At 45.2% G+C, this 16,285-nt stretch overlaps 1 protein-coding gene across 2 annotated transcripts in view; it reads right to left on the bottom strand.

Moving 5' to 3' along the window:
* Nucleotides 1-16,285, bottom strand: part of GAD2 (glutamate decarboxylase 2) — an 88,187-nt gene that overhangs the window by 56,150 nt on the left and 15,752 nt on the right. For both annotated transcript variants that reach the window (NM_000818.3, NM_001134366.2), the window contains exon 8: nucleotides 2,409-2,488. In NM_000818.3, coding sequence (NP_000809.1) covers nucleotides 2,409-2,488 — 80 coding nt within the window. The remainder of the gene's footprint in view (nucleotides 1-2,408; nucleotides 2,489-16,285) is intronic.

The raw sequence follows: 16,285 nt of genomic DNA, 5'->3' as shown, positions 1-16,285 counted from the left end.
CACCTTTCTTTGCTCTAAATTTCTTCCTGAAGGGCCTGGAGGGAGGCACACCCCTGGGCCAGAGCTAGCATTCTTTTCTGCTGACCTCAAAATTTTAAGCAAAGCTGCTCTTCCTTAACCCACTGCAAATCAGAAAACCTTTGAATTCGCCTATGTCCTATAAGTCCTGCTTCAAGATATCCCACCCTTTCGGGCCAAACTGATGTGTAACCACCATGTATTGATTTGCAATTTGCCTGTAACTTCTGCTTTCCTGAAATTATCCCTGCCTTTAAAAACCCCTACCTGCAAGCCATCGGGGAGGCTGAGTCTTAAGCATGAGCTGCTCAATTCACCTTGGTTGGTGCCCTGCAAATAAATGTCCTCCTTTCTCCTGCTGCAAACCTGTGTGTGGATGTTTGGCCTCACTGCTGCTGGCGAGTGAACCTCAGTTTGGTTCGCTAACAGAGGTAAACATGGCTTATTTTTAGAGCTTTCTTTTTTTTTTTTCTTTTCCTTTTTTTTTTTTTTTTTGAGATGGAGTCTTGCTTTGTTGCCCAGGCTGGAGTGCAATGGCATGATCTCGGCTCACTGCAACCTCTGCCTACTGGGTTCAAGCGATTCTCCTGTGTCAGCCTCCTGAGTAGCTGGGACCACAGGCGCACATCACCACCCCCGGCTAATTTTTGTATTTTTAGTAGAGACAGGGTTTCACCATGTTGGCCAGGCTGGTCTTGAACTCCTGACCTCAGGTTATCCACCCGCCTCGGCCTCCCAAAATGCTGGGATTACAGACGTGAGCCACTGCCCCCAGCCGGATTTTTAGAGCTTTCTGAATTCCACGTGAGCCACCGTATTTGCTGTGGCTGCCCCTCCCCCATGCCTCTGCTAAGGCTTGGCTTCTGGACCCCGTGAGGTGCTCATTCCTCCTCCTGTGGCTTTGTCAGAGGCATGTGAATATGAGTAACTCCATCTTGAATAGGAGCTGGGGAAAATGAGGCTGAGACCTATTGGACTGCATTCCCAGACGGTTAAGGCATTCTAAGTCACGAGATAGGAGGTCAGCACAAGATACAGGTCATAAAGACCTTGCCAAAACCCACCAAAACCAAGATGGCCACGAGAGTGACTTCTGGTCATCCTCCTCACTGCTACACTCTCACCAGCACTATGACAGTTTACAAATGCCATGGTAATGTCAGGAAGTTACTCTATATGGTCTAAAAAGGGGAGGCATGAATAATCCACCCCTTGTTAAGCATATAATCAAGAAATAACTATAAAAATGGGCAACCAGCAGCCTCCAGGCTGCTCTGTCTATGAAGTAGCCATTCTTTTATTCCTTTAGTTTCCTAATAAACTTGCTTTCATTTCACTCTATGGACTCACCCTGAATTCCTTCTTGCGCGAGATCCAAGAATCCTCTCTTGGGATGTGGATCAGGACCCCTTTCCTGTAACAGCTTTGCTGCTGGTATTCAATCTTCTGTAACTGCCCTTGCCTTTCCCTCCACTTGTCCAGCTCACTCCTAATTTTAAAAATCCAGCTCAATTCCTGCCTGTTGCATGAAGCTTTCTAGGTCTTCTCAAAGTTCAAATGTGTACTTCATGCCATGCAGTTCCACCCTGTAACTATCTCCTTCTGACGACACTGCCTCTTCCCACCTAGCTCACATCCTGGCAGGGAACCGGGATCAACGTATGGTGCTTTTCTAGAGCCTAGTGACATGGTGGGCAATCAGTACACATCTGACTAATAAATACAAATAAATAAATAAATGGCCAATTGAGTGGCTTCCTTTAAATTTAATGAAAATTCTTAATGAAACTTTAGAGACTGAATCTAATTTTTAGTAGGCTTCAGGCCTACAGGCCAGTGATACTTTACGTGGACATTCTAAAATCTCTCCCACAAAGCACCGCACTGAATCCCAGAGTCCCTGTGAAGTTCAGGTGTCAATTAAGACAGGGATTTCCCCTGAGTCCTCTGGTTCCAGTTGTTGAGTTGCTGGTGCTTTATTTACTTCCTGCTCCCTATACTACGTCCCCTCCTGTAATCACCCCATCAAGCTTACACTATCTATGGTGCCCAAAGTGATGACACCTCCATAAATCAGTGCTCAAAGTGCCTGCTGTTGCTAACGTGCCCAGGTGATGAAAGTCTTTCTGCACTTTCTTGGTGTAGAATATTTTGATGGATTTAACAAAGGTTTTGATTCAGGCAAGGGCTGTGGAAGGCTCCATGGCATCAAGGAACCACATCTGAGCAACAGAAGCAGGAGCCCATGTTAAAAAGAAACGAAGGCTGCAGAGGCTGGGAGGGAGGTGGACTTGCTGCCCCGTGGTCCTCTCCTATTTTCAGACCAAAAGGCACTACTTGTGTGGAATTTGCAAATTGCTAACCAACAAGAGTTGCCGATGCGTGCTCACCTCTCATCACATTTAATCAGAATCACGCTGTCTGTTCCAATCCCTAAGGCTGCAGCTCCCTTCTTGAGAGAAAAATGACTCTGTAAAAAAAATATATATATTTGCAATTAGTTCCATATACAGACAAGATCCATTCCACTGGCTGTTTGTTTTCTGTTTTCCTTTTTTCCTTTCATTTCTAGTCTGTTCCTCCAAAGCCTGGGCTGCTGAGAGAAGATGGCATCCTTCACTTGTGCTTTTTTAAAAACTGTGGTGAAACAGCTGGGCGTGGTGGCTCATGCCTGTAATCCCAGCACTTTGGGAGGCCGAGGCAGGCAGATCACAAGGTCAGGAGTTTGAGACCAGCCTGGCCAACATAGTCAAACCCAGTCTCTATTGAAAATACAAAAAAAAAAATTAGCCGGGTGTGGTGGCGGGCGCCTATAATTCCAGCTACTCAGGAGGCTGAGGCAGGAGAATCGCTTGAATTCGGGAGGCGGAGGTTGCAGTGAGCCAAGATTGCGCCATTGCACTCCAACTTGGGAGACAAGAGTGAAACTCCGTCTCAAAAAAAAAAAATTGTGGTAAAACAACATAACTTAAATGCCATCTTAACCGTTTTTATTTATTTTTTTTTTATTTTTATTTTAAGTTCCAGGGTACATGCGGGATGTGCAGGTTTGTTACATAGGTAAACGTGTGCCATGGTGGTTTGCTGCACCTATCAACCCATCACCTAGGTATTAAGCCCAGCATGCATTAGCTATTTTTCCTAATGCTCTCCCTCCCCCCACACCCCCAACCCCAGCCCCGACAGGCACCACTGTGCATTATTAACTTTTTTCTTTTTTCTTTTTTTTTTTTTTTTGAGACAGAGTTTTGCTCTTGTCGCCCAGGCTGGCATGCAATGGTGCAATCTCAGCTCACTGCAACCCCTGCCTCCCGGGTTCCAGTGATTCTCCTGCCTCAGCCTCCCAAGTAGCTGGGATTACAGGTGCCCACCACCATGCCTAGCTAGTTTTTGGTATTTTTAGTAGAGACAGGGTTTCACCATGTTGGCCAGGCTGGTCTCAAACTCCTGACCTCAGGTGATCCACCTGCCTCAACCTCCCAAAGTGCTGGGATTACAGGCATGAGCCACTGTGCCCAGCCTTATTAACCATTTTTAAGTGTACATTTCAGTGGTTTCAAATATATTCACAGTGTTGTGCAATCCATCACCTCCATCCATCTTCAGAACTCTTTGCATCTTGAAAACTAAAATTCCGTGCCCATTAAACAACTCCTCATTCTCCCCACCCCCAACCCCTGAATACCACCATTCCATTTTCTGTCTTTGAATTTAACTACTCTAAGTACCTCACATAAGTGGAACATACAGTATTTGACTTTTTGTGACTGGTTTAACTTAGTATAATGTCCTCAAGGTTCATCCATGTTGTAGCATGTGTGAGAATTTCCTTCCTTTTTAAGGCTGAATGACATTCTATTACATGTACATACCACATTTTGTTTAGCTATTCATCCATTTATACAAACAGGTTGCTTCTACCTTTTGGCTATTGCGAATAATGCTACTGTGACATATGGGGGTACAACTGCCTCTTCAAGACTCTGCTTTCAATTGCTTTGAGTAGATACTTAGAAGTGGAATTACTAGATCATACAGCACTTCTATTTTTAACTTTTGGAAGAACATCCATACAGTGCTCCATCATGGCGGTACCATTTTACATTCCCACTCTCAGTGGACGAGGTTTCCAATTTCTCCACATCCTCACCAACAATCATAATTTTCTGTTTTCGATAACAGTCATCCTAATGAATGAGAGATGGCAACTCATTATGCTTCGGATTTGCATTTCCCTAACGATCCGTGAGGTTGAACATCTTGTGCTTAGCATCATGTGCTTAGTGGCCATTTGTGCATCTTCTCTGGAGAAATGTCTATTCAAGTTCTTTGCCCATTTTGAATACAGTCGTTTATTTAGTTTTTGTTCTTGTTGAGATTTTTGAGGGAAACTGGAAAGATGCTGGAAATTGTAAATGGATCCAATAACCTGACACACAGGAACTCAAAGCCAATTTTACATACAAGGCTTAACAATACATCAACCAGCTCCAGCAGCTATGTATTGTATGGCTCCCAGGCTTATATGTTACCAAGAAGTTACACTCAGTTTCTCCCAGGTTCAGTGAAACTCAGTAAACTCAGGTAAGAGGACAAGTGACCCTAAATCTAGCACTCTTTATTCCAGTTGCTGGAGGGGCTATTTGTTGCACAGGCAACTGCCAAGCCTGAGTCAGGCTTTAAAAAAGAGGTATCAATTACTGGCTGGGGCAGAATGACTTGTCTGCGTGTACAGAACAGGCCACACTGCCAAGCCACCGCCAAAGTCTTTGTGCCTTTGGTTATTGATTCCGGGTAGGACTGTGTGTCTCAATGGTTGTAATCACCGTGCCATTTGGAGAGCTGAGAAAGGCTAACCTAAGCCCAGCTGTACTGCATCTGCCCATCAGCCTCTTACTATTAACTACACATCATTAAGCTGTCCAAAAGAAGAGCTGCTTCCTCAATTTACATCTCCAAAGGGCTGCTGACTGGAATTTTAAGTTAGGGATCCTAAGAGGGTCCTCTCTCTTCGAATGCCCACTTTTGTACTCTTCTGAATTCTCAAACACACAGCACAGGAACTCTTAACACATGTATTTTTAGGGGGTATGTCTAATCACCAAGAAGAAATCACATTTATAACAGCAGCAAATAATGATGACCAATCAAGGAGACCTGGAGCTGTGGAGTTTGACAAGCTCAGTGCAGCTAGAAGCAATGAGAAAGGGCCATTAGCTTCATTTTACAACCTAAGAATGACAAAGTGGACAGTCATTACCGTGATACCTAGGAACTAGAGGAGAAAGCTTAATTAGATCAAGGTTTGTAAAGATGCATGACCTCCCCCACCAAAAAAAGGGGGGGGGTTTTTTGTGCATTTGGCAGAGCCCTGGGCGACCCCAAAGAGAAGGAGCTCAGAGGCAAGCTAAGTCTCTTACAGCCAGAAGGGAAGAGACAGCCAGCTGCCCCAACTAAGTACATGCAAGCCACTCAAATTACACCCCTCTGTGAATGAGCTCTTAAGCACTAAACTGCAAAAAGGCGAACTGGGGATAAGTAAGAGATCTGGTGCACCTGGTCAATGGGAGGACGTATTCTTGTCTAGTCTTTAATGAGAAAGAATAGGGGTTCTTAAATGAGGAGCAATTACCCAGGATAATTGATCACGGTACCAAATGCTGCAGATTTAAAGAAAAACACATGCCCAGATAGAAAGCTTAAAGACAGGGAACAAAGGTGAGATGAAGCATGAAAAAGAAAATTAGGTAGCAAACATCGAGTCTGTTTATATTTTGAGGAAAGGGAGCAGAGAAATAGCTTAACGTTATTCACAAATAGAAAGGAATCCATGGAGAGGAAGAAAACTTGAGAGGAAAAAGCATCTACCTAATGAGGGAGAAACAGTGAAGATAGCTTAAATGGCATGTCTCTCTGGGCCGGCGAGACCACATGTGGACAGTCGTTTTTATTCCTTAGCACCACTTTGAATGGAAGTACTTGTTGATGAACCAGAGGAAAAGAGTGTCTGAAGAACAACCACCTGGATGCTGAGAAGGCTGGAAAGCAGGTGTTTAGAGAGAACCTAGAGGGTTCTCTGGAAACAAATATAAAAATTGAACCAGTGGCCGGGCGCGGTGGCTCACGCCTGTAATCCCAGCACTTTGGGAGGCTGAGGCAGGCGGATCACGAGGTCAGGAGATCGAGACCATCCTGGCTAACACGGTGAAACTCTGTCTCTACTAAAAATACAAAAAAATTAGCCAGGCATGGTGGCGGGTGCCTGTAGTCCCAGCTACTCCGGAGGCTGAGGCAGGAGAATGGCATGAACCAGGGAGGCGGAGCTTGGCTTGCAGTGAGCCAAGATCACGCCACTGCACTCCAGCCTGGGCAACAGAGTGAGACTCTGTCTCAAAAACAAACAAACAAACAAACAAACAAATGGAACCAGTGATTCAACAGTATCTGCAAGGCCAACAAGAATTGAGGGGAGATGTTTTAGCAAAGAATGCTGAGTTGGGCAACTACATCTGTCAGCAGCACATACTAGCAGACCACCCAGAGGAGTGAGGACGCAAACTACACCTCAGAAGATAACAACCTATTATCATCAAAGGGCCAAAAGGCCCTCTTCCCCTCAATGCAAGGAAGCTATTTATAGAGTTTTCCAAAATACCTCAATACACTTCAATTTTTTGTACTTCCACCTAAAAATACATGTGTGTGCACACTCATGCATGTGCATACACGTACAGACAGAGGAAACTTGGAGAAAAAGGTAACGTGTTGGGGAAAGTTTTGTTAGGAAAATCAGATCCGTTTTTGAAATAAAAGACACCTCAGTTCTAAAAAAAAAAAAAAGAAATGAGCAGAGGGCATTAAGGATATGTGACATGGGTGGCCTTCAGGTGAAGGGCTGTGCCAAGCCTGGGATCAGGGGATAGGCTGCTCTGGAGCACATCATGCTGGAGAGGACAGCATCCTACTCCACCTGGCCCTAGACAGGAGGGTGTGGCATGAGTTCCTTCACTCTTCAATGGCTTCAGAAGACAAAATTCTGAACAAAAATTGGAAGCTACAAGAATTCAAATTTGTCCCAAAATAATCAAGACTCTTGTAATGATCAGTTGTTCATTAATAAAATGGCTTGGGAATGAGCTAATGAGAATACCCTCGTCCCCTCCCTGGATTTGCGAAAAATTACAGTAGAGCCTTGATAATAGAATCTAGTGCTTATTTAGGATTAAATCATATTTCTATTTAAGGACAATAGATATTAAAGCCCAAATAATTTTATTTTCTACTAAATGAAAAAGTAAAGATTGATGGAAGAATAATTTCTCTCACTCTCTCTTTTTTTTTTCTTTTTTGAGACGGAGTCTCACTCTGTCGCCCAGGCTGGAGTGCAGTGGCACGATCTCAGCTCACTGCAAGCTCCGCTTCCCGGATTCACGCCATTCTTCTGCCTCAGCCTCCGGAGTAGCTGGGACTAGAGGCGCCTGCCACCATGACTGACTAATTTTTTGTTTTTGTATTTTTAGTAGAGATGGGGTTTCACCGCGTTAGCCAGGATGGTCTCGATCTCCTGACCTCGTGATCCGCCCACCCCGCCTCGGCCTCCCAAAGTGCTGGGATTACAGGTGTGAGCCACTGCACCCATCCACATTTTTTTTTTTTTTTGTGATGGAGTCTCACTCTGTTGCCCAGGCTGGAGTGCAGTGGCTTGATCTTAGCTCACTGCAACCTCCGCCTCCTGGGTTTAAGTGAGTCCCCTGGCTCAGCGTCCTGAGTAGCTGGGATTACAGGTACCTGCCACCATGCCTGGCTAATTTTCATATTTTTAATACAGATGGGTTTTTGCTGTGTTGGCCAGGCTGGTCTCGAACTCCTGATCTCAAGTGATTTGCCCACCTCAGCCTCCCAAGGAAGAGTAATTTCTCTATTAAAAAAATATATGTAGGTAAACCAGACACAGGTTACATGATTCAGCTTATCCTTAAAACATGCACAAATAAATAAGGGATTTTATAATTATAAAATATTTGTAATTAAAAAAATAAGCAGGCTTTCTAGGTTTGAGTGGGATGAGAATATTCAGCTAAGAGTGAGTGAGAAGGAGCGTATCAGGCTGGAGAGGGCAGCGCCCATCCCTCCTAGCCCTAGACTGGAGGGTGCAGCATGAGCTCCTTCACTCTTTAATGGGGACAGTAAATCTAATCCCTTTAGAGATGGTGGGAGAGTAAGGTGAGTGGTAGAAAGCTCTGAGACAAACTAGTTTAGAATCTTGGCATGCCGGTTTCTCCTCCTCTATTAGAATTGGGACAAGACATCTGGAAAGCCATATCAATTATTTCAAGCCATTGCTGATTTCATCCAAATATTTAACTGAGACTGAGATTTGACTGCCTAACAGATCACAGGGTTTCAGGGACAAGCCTCTGCTGGGCTTGGAGGACACAGATTATTAAGACAGTCCTCAGTGGCTGGCAACCTCCCCTACCTCATTTTCTGTCTTTGTTCCCCTCACTCTGTCTACCTGGTGCGTTGGCTTTCCTGGTCTTCTGTGAGCTTGCTAAACTTGTTCTCCCTTCTGAGTCTTTGCACTTGCCGTTCATTTTCCTGGAAAACCTTCCTTCAAATACTTACATGGTTCCCTCCCTCATTCAATGTAGGTCTCTGCTCACATATCACCTCCACACAGAGATATTTTTATGACCATCCTGTAAAGTAGCTGACTACCACCCTAATCTCATCACCACAAGACACTATTTCTAATATTAGTTCACTGTGTGTCCACTACGAGAACACAGCAGGCTGCATGAGGGCGAAGACTTTGTCATAGCGTATAATTGACAAAATATTTGTTGAATTTGTTGACCACATATTCAGATAACAAGTCCGGGGAAATGTCACTATTTATTGCCTTAACTATCTGGCCACAAATCCCAATGTTGGTGTGGCTCTGGTGGACTCCGTGGACCCCAATGCCTCAAATCTAAAGCCTATTCTAAAAGCAAGACCAGGGGTCTTCTTGGCACCTGCTCCAGAAGGCCTAAGGTGGGGTCCTGCCCAAGCTGGAGGCAGCTGTGTGTTCTCCTAACCAAGCCAGCTGCTAGAGGGAAGAAAGAAGCAACACAGAGACCTCAAATAAAGAGAAAGGACACACTGGCTGGGAAATCTTAGCTCTTAACTCTTCTGACATCCTATCAAGCATTCTACCTTCCAGCTCTGAGATCCATCAATTGACCAATTGTCCTCAGGCTTGATTCTTTTGTTCCAACACCCTTTGTGGGTGGAATTAGTGGGTGTGTGGGGAATGGGGATCATTATATATTGTCCTCAACAAGTAGATCTTGAAGCCCAGCCTATCAATGAGCTGGAATCTGCCCATTTGACCCTTCCTCATGCTTCCTGACCACCCCCCACCCCACCATCCCCCGGGGCCAATCCCTCAGCAGTTGCAGTTCTCACCGTATCCTCCTCCTTCACATCCTTCTGACACCTCCATTCGCTTGCTCCTATACAGTACACCCTAAGATTTGAGGGAAATGATAGCTACAGCTTCCTTAGAAATACTGGTCGCCTCTGTCCTTACTTCTGCTCGCCAGCTGGCCCGAAAGAACATTCTCTTGCTAAAGCATTGGATTTACAAACAAGCTTGTGCTCTGGGAGACCACCTCATTGGTTTCTAATTATAATGATCTGGAGGGGAGGGGACCTCCCAGACACATTTTTAGAGACTGTGTGATTCGCAGGTGATGTGGATCTGTACACAGGCACGTCTGTGAAGCTGCTATCTTATTAGTCACACTCAGTTCTGACTAGTAGATCAAGGTGGCCCCATTGTGAGCTTATACCCTAAATAAGTGTCAAATGAAAGGAATGATGTGTACCAGGTTAAGTTTAACATGAAAAGAGATCCAAGAATGATCTTCAGTGACAAATGTGAACATCAGTAGTGAGTATGTCTTCAGTCATTTTGAGCACTCTGTGGACAACAATTATTTCTATGATTGTGGATCATGAAGAGTGAATGAAAGTGTGTAATGGAAAGAGGTGATGTGAGGCACAATGATGAGGGTTTGACACCTGCTTCTATTTAGGCAAATTACTTTCTCATGCTGAGCCATGATTTGCTCAGGTGCAATGATGAAGTCCTCTCTTGGCAGAATTGATGTGAGAAGTGTAGCTGTGGCATGTGAGGTGCCTTACATATCATTTTTTGGGCTATCCCCAAAAAGGGTAGCCTTTCCTATCCTCCCATCCTTCTACCTAATGTGATACTGTCCTCAGGTCTCCCTCCTTACCTCAAGTGGCATTGTGAAATCTTCGAACAAAATTCATGTCAATCCCTTTCTTTTCTTGTGTGTGTGTGTGTGTGTGTGTGTGTGTGTGTGTGTGTGTGTCTGTGTGATGGAGTCTCGCCCTGTCACCTGAAGTGCAGTGGTGCGATCTCAGCTCACTGCAACCTTTGCTTCCCGGGTTCAAGTGATTCTCCTGCCTCAGCCTCCCAAGTAGCTGGGATTACAGGTGCCGCCATTACACCCTGCTAATTTTTGTATTTTTTGTAGAGGTGGGGTCTCACCATGTTGGCCAGGCTGGTCCCAAACTCCTGACCTCAGGTGATCCACCTGCTTCAGCATCCCAAAGTGCTGGGATTACAGGCATGAACCACTGCACCCGGCTAATTCACTTTACTTCTTAAAATAAATATATGTATGTAGGGAAATCTCAAAATTATACAAGTAGCAATCTAGGATCTAGACTCTCCCAAGGCTGTGGATCCTTGAGTGTTGCTTTGGCACTTTGGGAGGAAGGGCACATCCCTCTTAAGGAAATCACTGGCCCCGACTCTGCTCTCCCTGCTCCCTCTGTCTCGTCTCCTGGTTGGGCTCAGCTCCTTCTAACGACAGTGTCATCTGTGAGGGGCTCACCGAGAGCCATGCGCAGTGCACTACCCTTCCCATGTATCATCTTGCTTCATCCTCCCCACAGCTACGGGAGCTGGGTATCATCATCCCCATTTTACAGATGAGGAGGAGACGAAGGGTCATGCCTTGGGAGGTGGCAGAGCAGGGCCTGTCACCATTTCATCAATTCCAAAGCTCACAGGATATATCACTAACCTGGAGAACAATAAGTCTGTTCAGCCACTTTTGACCTGGCACTGGGAACAAGGGAGCATCCGTCACCTGGCGTGGATGGGATCTCAGGAGCCCCTTCCCATCCCTTTCTTCCCCAGAACAAGGGACACTTGCTGAGAGCGGGCACTGGGTGTGTTCTGCCCACTGCTCTCTCCCCCGTGCCAGAAGCAACGCCTGGCGCCTGCAGCACTAAAGGAAGGGAGGAATAAAGGAAGCATCTCTCTGCACAGTGGCTGAGTTGTGTCTCAGCACCTCACAGCTTTGCCTCTCTGAGTGCGATGGGAATATCCCCAGGAGAGGCAATGGGGAGGTCTTACCTATTGCTTACATCTCAGCAAGGCTTTCAGGTTCTTTCCTGAGAGGAGGTTTGGATGGACTGGGTAGAGGAGAAAATAACATGGGAGCGATGAGGGCCCTGAGGTGAGAAGGAGGTAGGAATGCAGCACAGGAGCAGGGGTGCTGAAGGTAAATAGATTTAGCCCACAATTTCACTCACTGTCAGTTCCGACTAAGGGGGGAGCAATACATTTTGTGGAAGTCATCTGTTTCCAAATTGCCCAAACAGCCCTGTTTCCAAACAGGTCACTGTTTAAAAGAATTTTTTAAAGGAGATCTATTTTTGAAACTAAAAACCTCTCCAATAATGATACGTGAAAGTCATCTTTATGGCCAGGTGCGGTGGCTCACGCCTGTAATTCCAGCACTTTGAGAGGCCAAGGCAGGCAGGTCACCTGAGGTCAGAAGTTCCAGCCCAGCCTGGCCAACATGGTGAAACCCCGTCTCTACTAAAAATACAGAACTTAGCCGGGTGTGGTGGTGGGCGCCTGTAATTCCAGCTACTTGGGAGGCTGAGGCAGGACCATTGCTTGATCCCGGGAGGCGGAGGTTGCAGTGAGCTGAGATTGCGTCATTGCACTCCAGCCTGGACGACAAGAGTGAGACTCCATCTCAAAAAAAAAAAAAAAGAAAAAAGAAAAGAAAGTCATCTTTCTGAAGATGTGGTGGCTCAAGCCTGTAGGCCCAGCTACTTAGGAGGCGAGGCAGGAGGAGTGTTTGAGCCCAGGAGTTTGAAGCTTCAGCGAGCCATGATCGTGCCACTGTACTCCAGCCTGGGTAACAGGGTGAAATCCTGTCTCCAAAATAAAATAATAAACTAAAATAGAGCAATTTTGAGAATTACCTCCCCACAGAAGTGGGTCGAAGCCACAAGGGGCCTCAGCAGAACATTGGCAACTGGTTCTGGGGGATGTGGGTGTGGGCCAGGCTTGGCATGTGAAGAGCGGAGCGAATTAGTTACGGTGATTTGCCTAAAGAGCCACTGTTTGTTATGATTAGGAAGAATATGTTTCCTAGATGAGGTTATGCTGTTTCGCGGAAGATATTTCTGGAAGAGCTTGTGCCACAAAGAAATAAGAGGAATTTGGAATTGAGCTCATGGTTTAGGCTTTCAAAGGATTCAGAGCTTGAGATGTGAATTATTGAGCTGGGATCTTAGCTTCCCTCTAAACCTACTTTAAAGAGAGAACCTAAAACTCATCAAGTTAATTTTTGCCAAGCCTTTGTATGACTGAAGATTTGGGGAACGGGATGAGATTCCAGCAAAGGATGTGTTGAACCAAAGGATCTTTAAGATCACTTTCAATTCTGAGATTTTGTGATTCTCTATTTTAGAGAAAAGTAATCTTGGAACTCTTAAACGCTTGCCACAGAAAGACTAGTTGTTTAATTTAGTCTTATTCAAGTTTTACAAGAAAACAGTTGATTCAAACAACCAGAAAAATTTAATAGGTTGCCCTCCTCATCAGATAAGCAAAGCTCTAGTCGGTGTTGGTGGCCAGAAAAGAAGTGGGTAGCTTTGGTGGGGTGCAACAGAGACAGAGTGAAGGGTCATTTAGAAAACAAAATGGCTCTTCCCTTCATGAATATGTGAACATTTCTGGTTGGATGCAGAAGGCCACAGAGTCTCGCAATGTTGTTCCCATCCCTATGGCTCTAAACATGCCAAGTTACAAACTCAGTGCTCAGATTGGAAGAAGGGATAGTAATGTGACCTGGTTCAGTAGATCAGGAAATTAGCACAAGAATAACTAACGGGGCCGGGCACAGTGGCTCACGCCTGTAATCCCAGAACTTTGGAAGGCCAAGGCAGGTGGATCACCTGAGGTCAGGAGTTCGAGACCAGCCTGGCCAACATAGTGAAACCTTGTCTCTACTAAAAATACAAAAAATTAGCCAGGTGTGGTGGCATGCACCTGTAGTCCCAGCTACTCAGGAGGCTGAGGCAGAAGAATCGCTTGAACCAGGGAGGCAGAGATTGCAGTGAGCTGAGATGGCGCCACTGCACTCTAGCCTGGGTAACAGAGAGAGATTCCATCTCAAAAAAAAAAGAATAATCAACATGGGGAAAATGGGATTTAAGAAAGGATGCTACAAGTGAATTTAGAGCAGCTAGCCAGAGAGAAGCGTTTAGGACATCCAACCCAGTAGTTGAAAGAGCAGTCTTGGGCTGGCCACTATGCTAATCTCTTCAGTGATGGTGTCTAATTGAACCCTCCCAACAGTCTTATGAGAGGAGCATTAATATGACTTTCCTTTCCCAGATCAGAAAACTGAGGCATAGCGAGATTAAGTAACTTGTCCAGTGTCACACAACTAGTACATGATAAAACCAAACATTTCAACCTGTGTTTGTCTGATTCCAGAGCCTATCCTTAGATGACACATCAAAGGAATGATTTTTCAATTCAATAAAATACACTGAATGCAAAAAAAGTTTATAAAGAGCAGTGTTGGTATTATTGAGAAATTACTGAGGCTTCGAATCTTGCTCTGCCATTGACTGGCTGTGACACCATGGGCAAAGTATCCCCCACCTCTGGGGCTTGGTGTCTTCATCTGTAAAACAAGGTGGGATTTTTTTTTTTTTTTTGTCTTTTTTTTTTGACGGAGTCTCACTCACTCTGTTGCCCAGGCTGGAGTGCAGTGGTGCGATCTTGGCTTACTGCAACCTCTGCCTCCCGGGTTCCAGTGATTCTCCTGCCTCAGCCTCCCGAGTAGCTGGGATTACAGGCGCCAACCAACATACCTGGCTAATTTTTGTATTTTCAGTAGAGACGGGGTTTCACCATGTTGGCCAGGCTGGTCTCAAACTCCTGACCTCAAGTAATCCTCCTGCCTCAGCCTCCCAAAGTGCTGGGATTACAGGCGTGAGCCACCGCACCCGGCTGAGGTTGTTGTTTTTTAAAGTTGGTTGATATTTATGCAGAGCTCTCTGTGTCCCAGGCACTGAGGCACAAGTTCTATAAGGCTCTCATTTGATTTTCTAGGAGTCTTGGGCCTTGGAAACCTCTCAAAATGTGTGAAGAGAGAACACCCGAAGCAGCGTCTGTCTTGACCCATGGCCTCCCTCTCCTCACTGAGTCAACACAGCAGCCCCTCCATTATCCTTTCTCCCTGCCAGCCAAGCAATTGAGGAAAGAAGCCTCCATGCCAAGATTGATGTTGTCTAGCCGGAGAAAAGGCATTTGAGAAATGACTTGGTAATTTTCTTTTTTCTGCCTCTGGAGATCTATTTCTGGAGCTGGTGGAGACAGTGTGATTGTAAAATCTGAAAAGACCAAGAAAATATGTGGCCTGGCCTGAAGCCAGAAGGAAGCTACACTAAATGATGAATTGAAAATAATGTCTGAGGTCTAGAGCCCAGAAGGAACTAGCGATGGGGATCGTATTACCTCTTAACCTGCAGCTTCAAAGGCAGGACTCACTTTTAAGAGCTCACCTGTCCAGGATGGTTAGGGTCAAGGGTTCAAGAAGATGCAGGACGGCTTTAAATGAGCTCCGAAAACCCCCTCCAGCCCAACCCTACGAGATGATGAGAATGTTTTTTGGTAGAAAGAGAGAGTCACAAATTAGCATCGGTTTCACATTAAGAAAACAGCTCCTGGTGGAAACTTGATCAGGGAAGGTATAAGATGTTAAGTCAATTGATAAGCTGCTGTATACAAAGCTCTGTTGCTGAATCTTTTAATCTGGTTTCTACAGTGGTAGTCGGTGCATGGAGCTCACTGGTCTTGGACCCAGTAAACCCAGTCTGATCTTGGCTCTACCTACCTAGCTAATTTCAGCCTCCTCATTTGTAAAATGCAGATAACAATCTCTGTTCTACTTGTCCCATAAGGTTGCTGTGAGAATCAAAGTTCCATATCTTCAAAGTGTTTTGGAAACTGTCAAATAGTAGTCAGATATAAGGTGTTATATATTAAAAAAACTATTTGTCAAAAATGATAAGGCAATGATAACCCAAATGATAGGCCAAAGTTAGAGCCTATTGGTATTTTAGGAGAGCTTCGTAATTCAAATGATCCTTCACTACTGTATGCATAGATAGAGACACAAGAAGGAGAAGGGAGAGTCAAATGGTTGTTATACGGCCGAATTGTGTTTCTTTCTCAGAAATGAAGAAGTAGTCTGGGCGTGGCGGCTCACTCCTGTAATCCCAGCACTTTGGGAGGTGAAGGCGGATGGATCACCTGAGGTCAGAAGTTTAAGACCAGCGTGGCCAACATGGTGAAACCCTGTCTCTACTAAAAATACAAAAATTAGCCAGGTGTGGCGGCACGTGCCTGTAGTCCCAGCTACTCTACTCCAGAGGCTGAGGCAGGAGGAATCTCTTGAACCCCAGAGATGGAGGTTGCAGTGAGCCGAGACTGCACCACTGCACTCCAGAGATCACGCCACAGCACTCCAGCCTGGGCGACAGGGCTAGACTCTGACTCAAAAAAAAAAAAAAAAAAAAAAAGTAGACTGAGTTTACAGTATCAGGAAAAGAAGGTAGAGCAAAATTGTTATTTTTAGATCCTCAGACCACATGGCCTGATCAAGTCTCAGTCAATTTACATAAAGCATGAGGCTGAGAAGCTCATGCCCAAACCAGAGATGCCTGGCAGAGAGCACAGAGTGGCTTGCTGCTGGACCAAACTCATTTTAACTTGTGGACGCAGCTTGGAAGCCAAAAGAAAAAGACGCCCAATAAAAGATCATCTGGACTTTTTGAGGCTGAGAATGTAATAACATGTAACTATTTAGGGGTCCAAACCCATTTCAGGAAAATAGTAATTGAGGAGAAAAATAGATCACGTTTTTCT

Source organism: Homo sapiens, chromosome 10 (genome assembly GCF_000001405.40).
Source record: "Homo sapiens chromosome 10, GRCh38.p14 Primary Assembly".
Taxonomy (NCBI): domain Eukaryota; kingdom Metazoa; phylum Chordata; class Mammalia; order Primates; family Hominidae; genus Homo; species Homo sapiens.
The sequence above is the reverse complement of the archived record's forward strand: the minus strand, read 5'-3'. Positions and strand labels throughout refer to the sequence as shown.